A 12192-nucleotide genomic window follows, 5' to 3' on the forward strand; every position below is an offset into this window, starting at 1 on the left:
ATCCTTTCACAGTTCATAAGAGTGATGACTGGGTTTTCACTTTCATGTGTAAGATGTGCCTCCCTGAAACCTTGTTACAACATTGGCACATTACCCATCTGATGTGGAAAAAAATGAAACTTCAATATCCCACTTGAACCACAATCCTCCCAGCTCTATTCTCTTCCTCCCACTTTACCACTCCTTGGCCTCGCTGAGTTCCAGCCCTTTAATCCCTTCGTGGCCTCACAGTTTATCTTTACTTTCCCCTCAATTCCCAGGCTTCAGTCTTTTAAAACCCAAGCTAGACCTCTGGCCAACAACTTGAATTATTTCCCGCCAGCTCCCTCAATACCCGTGCTCCCTTTTCCCTCCACTCATAAGTGCTGGAAAACCCTGACTACAGAACCCAGTTCTACAGCTGCCCACGCTCGTCCTAAACCTGGAGCTCCAAGTCCTGGTACAGAAAACTGTACACTCTGCCACAGGTTTGTCTTTTGAGAGGTTCATGAAGGACTATTACAAATCCACCTCATTCTCCCCACCCCTCATCAGATAGCCTGTCCTCCTGCTTCACTGAGAAAATTAAATCCAAGAACTCTCAACTTATCCCCTTCTTTCATAAGTATACTTGCATTACCCACCACATAGTCTTCTTGAACCCAGTAAAGACATCTACAAGCTGGGCACAGTGGCTCATGCCTATAATCCCCGCACTTTGGGAAGCCACTTGAGCCTAGGAGTTTGAGACCAGCCAGGGAAACATAGACTCCGTCTCTATAAAAATAGATAAATCAATAACATCTACAGTGCTTTGTCTGGGTAACATAATGACACCCTACAAAAAATAAAAAATTAGCTGGGTCTGGTGATGCACTCCTATAGACCCAGCTACCCAGGAAGCTGAGACGAGAGGATATCTTGAGCCCAGGAATTTGAGGCTGCAGTGAGCCACATTCACGCCACTGCACTCCAGCCTGAGTAACAGAGCAAGGCTCTGTCTCAGAAAAAGGAAAAAAAAGCAACCTAATGCTTACATCATACTTCATGGTGAAGGAATGAATGCTTTCCCTCCCAAGATCAAAAAGAAGGCAAGGGATAGCTGCTCTTTCTGCTTCTATTCAACAATGTATATAGCATTTCCAGTACAGAAGGGAGAGCGACAGAGATAATACAAGTTGTAAAGGAAGAAGTAAAACGTTCTATATTCACAGATAACATGATTGTGCCTATAGACACTCCTAAGGAATCCACCACAAAAAAAAAAAAAAATATATATATATATATATATATATATATATACATGAAAATGCCAGGCATGGTGGCTCATGCCTGTAATCCCACACTTTAGGAGGCTGAGGTGGGAGGATCACTTGAGCCCAAAAGTTCAAGACCAGCCTGAGCAATATAGTGAGACCCTGTCTCTACAAAAAATAAAAAATTAGCTGGTCATGGTGGTGCACATCTGTAGTCCTAGCTACTTGAGAAGCTGAGGTAGGATGATTGTTTGACCCCAGGAGGTTAAGTCTGCAGTGAGCCGTGATCATGCCACTGCACTCCAGCCTGAGTGACAGGCAAGACCCCATCTCAAAAAAAAAAAATTTTATATTTAAATTTTTAAAAAAATTCCTTTTGATCAGGCACAATGGCTCATGCCTGTAATTCCAGCACTTTAGGAGGTCAAAGCAGGCAGATTGCTTGAGCCCATGAGTTCAAGACCAGCCTGGACAAGATGGTGAAACCCTGTCTTTACAAAAAAAAACACAAAAAAATCAGCTGGGCATGGGGGCACGCACGTGTTGTCCCAACTACTTGGGAGCCTGAGGTGGGAGGATCATCTGAACCCGGAGGTCGAGGCTACAGTGAGCCAAGATTGTGCCACAGTACTCCAGCCCAGGCAACAGAGTGAGAGACCCTGTCTAAAAAAACAAAAACAAAAACAAACAAACAAACAAAAATTTAAGTGAAAACTAATATGTGAATTTAACAAGGTTACCATATACAAGGTCAAATATCAAAAATAAAGTATTTCTCCATAGACTATGAATAAATAATTGGAATTTTTAAAAAAACTTTAATACCATTTAAAAGAGCATCAAGTAAGGAAAATGTTATACACACACACACCATGGAATACTACTCAACCATAAAAAAGAAGGAAATCACGTCTTTTGCAGCAACATGGATGGAATTGGAGGTCATTATCCTAAGCGAAATAACTCAGAAACAAGAAGTCAAATACCACATGTTCTCACTTAAAAGTGGGAGCTAAACAATAAGTACACATGGACATACAGAGTAGAATAGCAGACATTGGAGACTACAGAAGGTGGAAGGGTGGGAGGGAGGGTGTATTAGTCCATTTTCACACTGCTATAAAGAACTTCCTGAGATTGAGTAATTTATAAAGGAAAAAGGTTTAATTGACTTACAGTTCCACATGGCTGAGGAGGCCTCAGGAAACTTACAATCATGACGGAAGGGGAAGTAGGGATGACTTACATGGTGGCAGGTGAGAGGGAGAGGATGTGAGTGAAGGAGGAACCTGCCGAACACTTATAAAACTATCAGATCTCATGAGGACTCACTATTATGAGAACAGCATGGGGGAAACTGCCCCCGTGATCCAATCACCTCCCACCAGGTTCCTCCCTGAATACGTGGGGATTACAATTCAAGATGAGATTTGGGTGGCGACACAGAGCCAAACCAGATCAAAGGGTGAGGTCTGAAAAATTCCTTATTGGGTACAATGTGATAGGTACACTAAAAGCCCAGACTATTTTTACTACGTAATATATGCATGTAAAAAAGCTGCACTTGTACCTCCTAAATATATAAAAATAAAAAATTAAATAAAATAGCATCAGGACTTCTAATTCTGAGCAACATGGAGTGACAGGGACCAATTAAAACTCCAGGCACAACATATGAAGCAACAGCTTTCAGACATTAAGCATCAGGCAGCACAGACAGTGAATTCAGGAAACAAGCAAGATGTGTTCTATGATTTTCGCAGTCTGTGATAGGAAAGGGTTTCCAGGCTTCAGCACAGCAAGGGGGAATGCAGGCAGAGCCCAAAAGTCTCCCTCAGTTCAGGAGAAAATGCTGGGCATCTGAGGAGGCCAAGCCAGCTAGAGTTCACCTGGCAGAGCACAAGAGCTGAGAGAGCAGCACAGACAGAGAGCTCCAGGGATCTGTGGAAGGTCTGCAGCTGAAGGCTGATCTGCACATTCGTGTGAGGAAACTACCACAGGCTAAGAAAAATTACACCTGAAAAAAGTACAGGGAAAAATCTTCAGCATTCACCTACTAGCCACAGTAGGAAACCTCATAATTAACAGGTCATCAGGTAGAATATTCAGAAAGGCATTGCTGTAGTAGTGGGCAATATTAGCCATACACCAAAGAATTCTGGTCATGTCTAACAAAGCAAGCCTCAGAAGGACCAGTTTTCAAGTAACTTAACTACATCACAGAACAACGCTCAAGAATATTAATAAGAATACAAAGGTATTCAGTACCCACAAGGTAAAATACGTGGTATTTGGAATTCAATAAAAAATTATAAGACACACAAATAAGCAAGAAAATACAATTCGTAATGAAGAGAAAAATCAATGAGAACTAATCTAGAAATGATATGGATGATAGAATTAGTAGACAAAGACATTTAAGTGGTTATTAAAGCTATATTCATATGTTCAAGAAGGTAAAGGAAAGATTGAGCATGTTAAGTAAAAACATCAAAGATATTTTTAAATTACCAAATTGGCTGGCTGCGGTGGCTCATGCTTCTAATCCCAGCTCTTTGGGAGGCCGAGGTGGGTAGATCACTTGAGTCTAGGAGTTCAAGACCAGCCTGGGCAACACAGGAAGATCCCATCTGTACAAAATTTTTTTAGAAATTAGCCAGGCATGGTGGTATGCACCTGTAGTCCCAGCTACTTGGGGATGAGGTGGGAGGATTGCTTGAGCCCGGGAAGTCAAGGCTGCAGTGAGCCAAGATTGGGCCACTGCACTCTAGCCTGGGTGACAAAATTAGACCCTGTCTCACATATAAATAAATAAAAATAAGAGGCCCAATTGAACTTGTAAAGAGAAAAATTAAAATATTTGAGATTAATAACAACACATTAGACATTGAAAAAAATTAGTGAAGTTTAAGACAGAGCAATAGAAACTATCCAAGATGAAACACGGAAAGAAGAAAGACTGAAAAAAAAAATGGCCAGAGCATTAGTGACCTACGAGGCAATCAGACTCCAAAGGGGGGGAAAAAAGAGACAGAGAGAGTGAGAAGGGAGGTCAGAAAAAAAGATATGAAGAAGTAATAACTGAAATTTTCCAACGTTTATGAAAATTAGATGTCCAGAAACCTAAGAAACTTAGTAAACCCCAGGCACAAGAAACATGAAAAACCAAAGCACATCATAAAATTGCATCAAAAACATAATATGCTTAGGAATAAATTTAACAAAATATGTGCAAAATCCACACATGAAAAACTAGAAAACATTGCTGAGAGAAATTAAAGAATACCTAAATAAATTGACACATATATTTTGTCCATGGATTGGAAGACACAATATTGTTGCCCACTCTTACCAAAATGATTGATAGATTCAGTATAATTCCAGTAAAAAACCCAACATGCTTTATTTCACAGAAATTGACAAACTGATTTTAAAATTTATATGGAAGTTCAAAGGACCTAGAATATCCAACACAGTTTTGAAATAAAGAGTAACAAAGTTGGAGAACTTGTATAACCTCACTTCAAGGCTTATTATATAGAGCACCCTAGATAATACAATGTAATATTAGGGTAAGGAAAGACAAATATACAAATACAACCAAATAGACCAGAAATAGACCTCATGCATGGCCAATAAGCACACGATAAGATGTTTAATCATTAGTCATCAGGTAAACAGAAACTAAAATCACAATGAAGTACTACCACACACCTACCAGAATGACTACAAATTAAAAATTGTAATGATACCAAGTTTGGTGAGAAAATAGAGCATCTAGAAATCTCATATATTACTGAGGACAGTATAAAATAGTTGAATCCATATCTTGGTTATTGTAAATAGTGCTGTAATAAACATGGCAGTCCAGATATCTCTTTGATATACTAATTTCCTTTCTTATACCCAGCAGTGGGATCACTGAATCATACGGTAGTTGTATTTTTAGTTTTAGTTTTTTGAAGAATTTCCATACTGTTTTTCATAGTGGCTATATTAATTTACACTCTCACCAACTGTGTGCAAGAGTTCCACTTTCTCCACATCTTCACCAGCATGTCATTTTTTATCTTTTTGATAATACCATTTTAATTGGGGTGAGATAATATCTCATTGTGGTTTTGACTTATATTTACCTGATGATTCGCGATGTCAAGCATTTTTTCATATACCTGTTGGCCATTTGTATTTCTTCGTTTGAGAAGTGTCTATTCAGAACATTTGCTCACTTTTTACCTGGATCTAATTTCATTCTTCTGCATATGAATCTTCAGTTTTCCCAGAACCATTTTTTTTTTTTTTTTTTTTTTTTTTTTTTTTTTTTTTTTTTTTTTAGTTTTCTGACAGAAAAGTCTCTCTCTGTCACCCAGGCTGGAATGCAGTGGTGCAACCACAGCTCACAGCAGCCTCAACCTCCCAGGCTCAAGTGATTTTCCCATCTCAGCCTTCTGGGTAGCTAGGACCATGGGCACACACCACCACATGTGGATAAGTTTTTTATTTTGTAGAGTCTTTCTTGCCAAGGCTGGTCTCAAACTCCTGGGCCCAGGCATTCCTCCTGCCTTAGCCTCCCAAAGTGCTGGGATTACAGGTTTTAGCCACTGCACCTGTCCCCCAGCATTATTTATTGAAGAGATTGTCCTTTCCCCAGTGTATGTTCCTGGTGTCTTTGTCAAAAATGAGTTGGCTGTAAATGTATGGATTTATTTCTGGGTTCTCTACTCTGTTCCACTGGTGTATGTATCTGTTTTTATGCCAGTACCATGCTGTTTTGGTTACTATTGCTTTATGGTATAATTTGAAGTCAGGTTATGTGATGCCTCCAGGTTTGTTATTTTTATTCAGGATTACTTTGGCTATTCAAGGTCTTTTGTGATTCCATCCAAATTTTAGGATTGTTTTTCTGTTTCTGTAAAGAATGTCATCAGCATTTTGATAGGAACTGCATATAATCTATAAGTTGCTTTGGGTAGTATGGACATTTTAAGAATACTAATTCTTCCAATCCATGAACGTGGGATATCTTTCCATTGTGTGTGTGTTTCCTCTTCAATGTCTTTCCTCAGTGTTTTATAGTTTTAATTGTAGAGATCTTTCACTTCTTTGGTTAAATTTATTCCTAGGTATTTTATTATTAATTTTTTAGCTATTGTAAATGAGATTGCTTTCTTGATGTATCCTTTTTCAGATTGTTTGCTGTTGGCATATAGAAATGCTGCTGATTTTTGTATGTTGATTTTGTGTCCTGCAACTTTACTGAATTCTTGTATTCTAACAGTTTTTTTTGCGGAGTCTTTAGGACTTTCTAAATATAAGATCATGTCATCTGTAAACAGGGACAATTTTACTTCTTCCTTTCCAGTTTGAGTTCCCCTTATTTCTTTCTCCTGCTTAATTGTTCTGGCTAAGGCTTCCAGTGCTATGTTGAATAAAAGTGGTGAAAGTGGGCATCTTTGTCTTGTTTCAGATCTTATAGGAAAGGCTTTCAGTTCAGCATGATGTTAACTATGGGTTTGTCATATATGGCCTTTATTGTTTTGAAGTATGTTTCTTCTATACCTAGTTTGTTGTAAGTTTTTATTATAAAGAGATGTTGAATTTTATCAAATGCTGTTTTATGCATCTATTGAGATGATCATATGGTTTTGTTCTTTATTCTGTTGTACAATTTGGTGTATCACATTTCTTGATTTGTGTATGCTGAACCATCCTTGCATCCCTGGAATAAATCCCACTTGATTCTGGTGTGTTATTATTATTTTTTTTTTTGAGATGGAGTCTCGCTCTGTTGCCCAGGCTGGAGTGCAGTGGCGCGATCTCTGCTCACTGCAAGCTCCGCCTCCTGGGTTCACACCATTCTCCTGCCTCAGCCTCCCAAGTAGCTGGGACTACAGGCGCCCACCACCATGCTCGGCTAATTTTTTTGTATTTTTAGTAGAGACGGGGTTTTACCGTGTTAGCCAGGAGGTCTCAATCTCCTGACCTCGTGATCCGCCCGTCTCAGCCTCCCAAAGTTCTGGGATTACAGGCGTGAGCCACCGTGCCCAGCTGTGTTATCTTTTTAATGCATTGTTGGATTATGTTTGCTAGTATTTTGTTGAGAATTTTTGCATCCATGTTCATCAGGAATATTGGCCTGTAGTTTTATTTTTGTTGTTGTTGTATCCTTATATGGTTTTTGTATTAGAGTAATGCTTATCTTATGGAATGAGTTAGAAATAATTCTCTCCTATTCATCTTTTGGAATAGTTTGGAAATAATTGGTGTTACTTTGGAGGGAGCTTTTAATACAAAGGAAATGTTCTATATCTTCAGTGGGGGCTACAAGAGTGTATATACTTGTCAAAACTGCACCAGAACTGCCTGTCAGCTGCTCAGGTGGTAGCATCTGATGGTGGCATCTCTCTGGGAACTGTACATTAAAAATAGGTGCATTGGTTGTATGTAAATTACATCTCAATAGAGTTGATTTTTTAAAACGAAGTAGAAAAAATATAATTAAATTAATCCCTCTCTCCTGATTCTCCACCAACATCTCTGGAGAGTACTCCTTAATCTTCTTTATAAATTCTTCATATTTCCCTTTGAAACTCAGGGGTTACTTGATGTTCCATTCTTGATCCTCTTCTTCTCCCTCATATAACCATAATTATTTCACTCAGTATTCGTGTTATAACTACCACCTATTTGAGGATCGTTCCCAAATCTACATTTCTTGCACAGACTTTTCCCCTGAGCTCCAGATAGCTATATCCAAATGCTTAATGGAAAATCTTTATCTCAAGCTCAACATGTCCAAAACTAAGACAATTACCACACATAGGCCAGAAGCAGTGGCTCATGCCTTATAGGCCAGGAGCCCAGGAGTTCAAGACCAGCCTGGGAAATATAGCACGCCCACATCTCTACAAAAAAAAAAAAAAAAAAAAAAAAAAAAAATTTGTTTTAATTAGCCAGGCATAGTGGCATGTGCCTGTAGTCTTAGTTACTCAAGAGGCTGAGGTGGGAGTATCGCTTGAGCCCAGGAGTTCGAGGCTGCAGTGAGCTATGACTGTGCCACTCTACTCCAGCCTGGGTTACAGAGAAAGATTCTGTCTCTAAAAAAAAAAAAAAAAAAAAATTACCACACATAACTTTAAGCCTACCTTTCATACAATATTCTTTATTTTTTTTCTTTTTTACTTTTTCTTTTTTTCTTTTGAGATAGAGTCACACTCTGTTGCCCAGGCTAGAGTGCAGTGGTGCAATCTTGGCTCACTGCAACCTCGGCTCACTGCAACCTCCACCTCTCAGGTTCAAGTGACTCTCGTGCCTCAGCCTCCCAAGTAGCTGGGATTACAGGCATGCACCACCATCCCTGGCTAATTTTTGCATTTTTAGTAGAGACACGGTTTTGCCATATTGGCCAGGCTGGGGCTCAAACTCCTGGCCGCAAGTGATCCACCTGCCTCATCCTCCCAAAGTGCTGGGATTACAGGCGTGAGCCATTGTGCCTTGCCCTATACAATATTCTTCATATGCATTGATGCGCTGTGGCTGACACATAGTAAACACTTTATATATTATTTGTTGAATGAATGAAATGTGAAATAACTAACAGCCAAATATGTCTTCAATTCTCTCTCACTCGCCTATATTATTAAGCACGTGACCAACATGCTTTGTGGAAATTATTTTCACAAATGTTAGTTCATTCTCTTATTCCTTTCTCCTCCCCACTACTACCTCCACTCCCACCCCAGATGGAGAGAGGGTGAGAATGGAGTTGGCACACATCTCTGAATGGCACCTGCTCAGATTGACAGGCTTCAGTATTTCAAGATAAGAAAAGCTGCTCTCCTCTTCCCCTTCTTTCCCCCTTCCAACATCATGGTCACCGCCAGAACTGCCTGCAATTGGTATTCTGGGCAGATGTAGCCAGCTGTAAGGTGCGTTATCTGACAGTGCATCTGTCTGGAAAACCAGAAGAAGGAAAAGGAAAACTGTGTTTAGAAGGTGTATTTTTCTCTTCCCCAGGTAAGCAGGAGAAATAATAGAATTCAAATTGTAATAACCATGCAACAAAACTTCTGCACACTAGGTGTTTATCCCAGTTCATAAAAACAACTATTTTAAGGTAATGAAAAGAACTCCCTGTTGGGGAAGCAAATGGAACTACATGTTTCTGAAACAGTTTGAAAGAAAACAGCAAACTCAATGACCAGACAGCAAAAACATGTCAAGCAGATTGGCACAGTTTGCCTCACTCACAAATCTTCCCCAGACAAGGCTCCAGGAAAGGCTGGACCCCTTGAAATCATACTACACATCAGGAAACCACGTGACCTTCTATTGTCAAACCCATACAGCCTACTCAGCTTCAGTGGGGTGTAAAGGCTCCCCTTTTTTTCTATACTCAGAGCCTAAGAATTCAACTTCATTTCTGTTTCTTTAATGGTACCCTACCAACTCTGAACCTTGGGACCCTGTCCCCCAAGTCCTTTTCTCTGTTGTCTCTAAAGACAAACATACAAGCTTTTATGATTGGAAGAATTAACTGCTAATCACTATAGGAAAATAGACACGGAAAAACAAAAGCAACAAAGATGAAAACGTTTATTTACCTAAGAGCTCTTATATACAGGGTAACCAAATGTCCCTGTTAGCCCAGGACGGTCCCAATTAACATCTATTTTCCTGGCATAATTACTAATTGCAACCGCTTCACTCTCAAAAGTATCATGTTTGGTCATAAAGTAGAATAAGTTATCCTATTTATATGGCACTTATTTTATGCCAGGCATATAAACGTTAATCTATTTGATCCTCAAAGCAATCTCATGAGCTAAGAAATGTTTTCAAAGTAATCAGACCAAAGCAGGAGAGGTTGAGTAGCTTGCCCAAGGGTACACATATAGTCAGTATCTGAGCCAGGATTTGCCAACAGAGGCAACTGGCTTCAATATCCTTGTCCTTAACCATTGTGGTAAGCTATGATAAAGCTTTAGGAAATCAAGTGTTCTTTCATTTAATAAGTATTATTAATGCCTACTATGTGCCAGGCACCATGCTACAAACTAGGAATACAGAATGAAACAGGCAGAGGACGTGCCCCAAGGAAACTTTCAGTCTGAGGGAAACAAAGATACAACTAAAAAGACAAGGAGTACAGGTACAGGGTGCATTGAGAACAATTGGTATAGAGGTGGGAGTGGTATCTAATCAGGCATTAAGAGATCATGGAAAGCTTCCTGGAGGAAGTGACATCTGAGGAGAGTGCTGAAGAAAGGGTATTTTATCTAGACTGGAAGGACCAGGAAAATCTGGTTCAGGCAGAACAGCAAATCAGATGGTCCTAAGGCCAAAGAAATCACAATGAATTCACATAGTTCAGTAGGGTTAGTGTTGCCTGGGGTCAGGGAAGGAGCAAAAGTTGGAGCTAGAAATATATACAAAGGCCAGATCAAGAAGGGATGTTACTGACATGCTCACATTTGCACTTTGTCCTGAAGTTAATGGGAAGCTCATGGCTTACTAGGAACTTAAGCAGAGAAGTGACCTGATCAAATTTTCACTTTACAAAAATCATTAGTGCTGCCATGCAGAAATGGTTTGAAGAGGCAAGAGCCAGAGCAAACACAGGAAACTCAGACAGAATGCTGTTGCCAGGATCCATCAGAGGGAGGAAGCAGGCTTGAACTAAGGTGGTGACTAGAGATGCAGAAAGACTTGGTATATCAAGGAGGTAGAACTGGCAGGACTTGGTGATGAGGAAGATGTGGTGGGTGAGGGGAAAGAAGGGTCATGGATGCCAGAGAGATGTCCCATCTGAGTCTGGAGCTCAGGAGAGAGACGTGGGCAAGAGACATAAATTTGGGAATCACCCATGTAGAGATGGTAATTAGGCCAGCTGGTTAGATGGCTTACCCAGGGGAGTCTGTAGAGTGGGAAGTGGAAGAATTTGCAAGACCAGGCATGGTGGCTCATGCCTGTAATCCCAGCACTTTGGGAGGCCAAGGTGGGAAGATCTGAGTTCGAGACCAGCTTGGGCAATGTAGGGAGATCCTGTCTGTAGAAAAAAAAATTTTTTTAATTAGCTGGGCATGGGCTGGATTCAGTGGCTCACGCCTGTAATCCCAGAACTTTGGGAAACCGAGGCAAACAGATCACCTGAGGTCAGGAGTTCAAGACCAGCCTGACCAACATACAGAAACCCCATCTCTACTAAAAATACGAAATTAGCTGGGTGTGGTGGCACATGCCTGTAATCCCAGCTACTCGGACTCGGGAGGCTGAGGCAGGAGAATCACTTGAACCCAGGAGGCAGAGGTTGCAGTGAGCCAAGATCACACCATTGCACTCTAGCCTGGGCAACAAGAGCAAAATTCTGTCTCAAAAAAAAAAAAAAAATTACCTGGGCATGGTCGCATGCGTCTGTGGTCCCAGCTACTCAGGAGGCTGAAGTGGGAAGATCACTTGAGCCCAGAAGGTGGAGACTGCAGTGAGCTATGATTCCACCATTACACTCCAGCCTGAGTGACAGAGCGAGACCCTGCCTCAAAGCAAAAAAAAAATAGAAAAAAGTAAAGAAAAGAAAAAAAGAACTGGCCACATAATCCAGTGTTAGTGTCTCTCCTCACAAGAAAATACGAAGAAAAATACTGGCCATGGGCTGGGTGGGGTGGCTCACGCCTGTAATCCCAGCACTTTGGGAGGCTGAGGTGGGTAGATCACCTGAGGTTGGGAGTTCGAGACCAGCCTGACCAACATGGAGAAACCCCATCTCTACTAAAAAATATATATATATATATAATTAGCCAGGCATGGTGGTGCATGCCTGTAATCCCAGCTACTTGGGAGGCTGAGGCAGGAGAATTGCTTGAACCCAGGAGGCAGAGGTTGCAGTGAGCCGAGATCGTGCCATTGCACTCCAGCCTGGGCAACAGTGAGACTCTGTCTCAAAAAAAAAAAAAAAAAA

General features: G+C 40.6%; 1 non-coding gene across 1 annotated transcript; it reads left to right on the forward strand.

Annotated features, from left to right (window-relative positions):
• On the forward strand, positions 1 to 104 carry LOC124904812 (small nucleolar RNA U13). Its single transcript, XR_007067408.1, has one exon. It is a non-coding gene; the product is annotated as a small nucleolar RNA U13 (small nucleolar RNA).
• Positions 105 to 12192: the final 12088 nt, after the last annotated feature.

This window comes from Homo sapiens, chromosome 1 (genome assembly GCF_000001405.40).
Source record: "Homo sapiens chromosome 1, GRCh38.p14 Primary Assembly".
In the NCBI taxonomy this organism is placed as follows: Eukaryota; Metazoa; Chordata; class Mammalia; order Primates; family Hominidae; genus Homo; species Homo sapiens.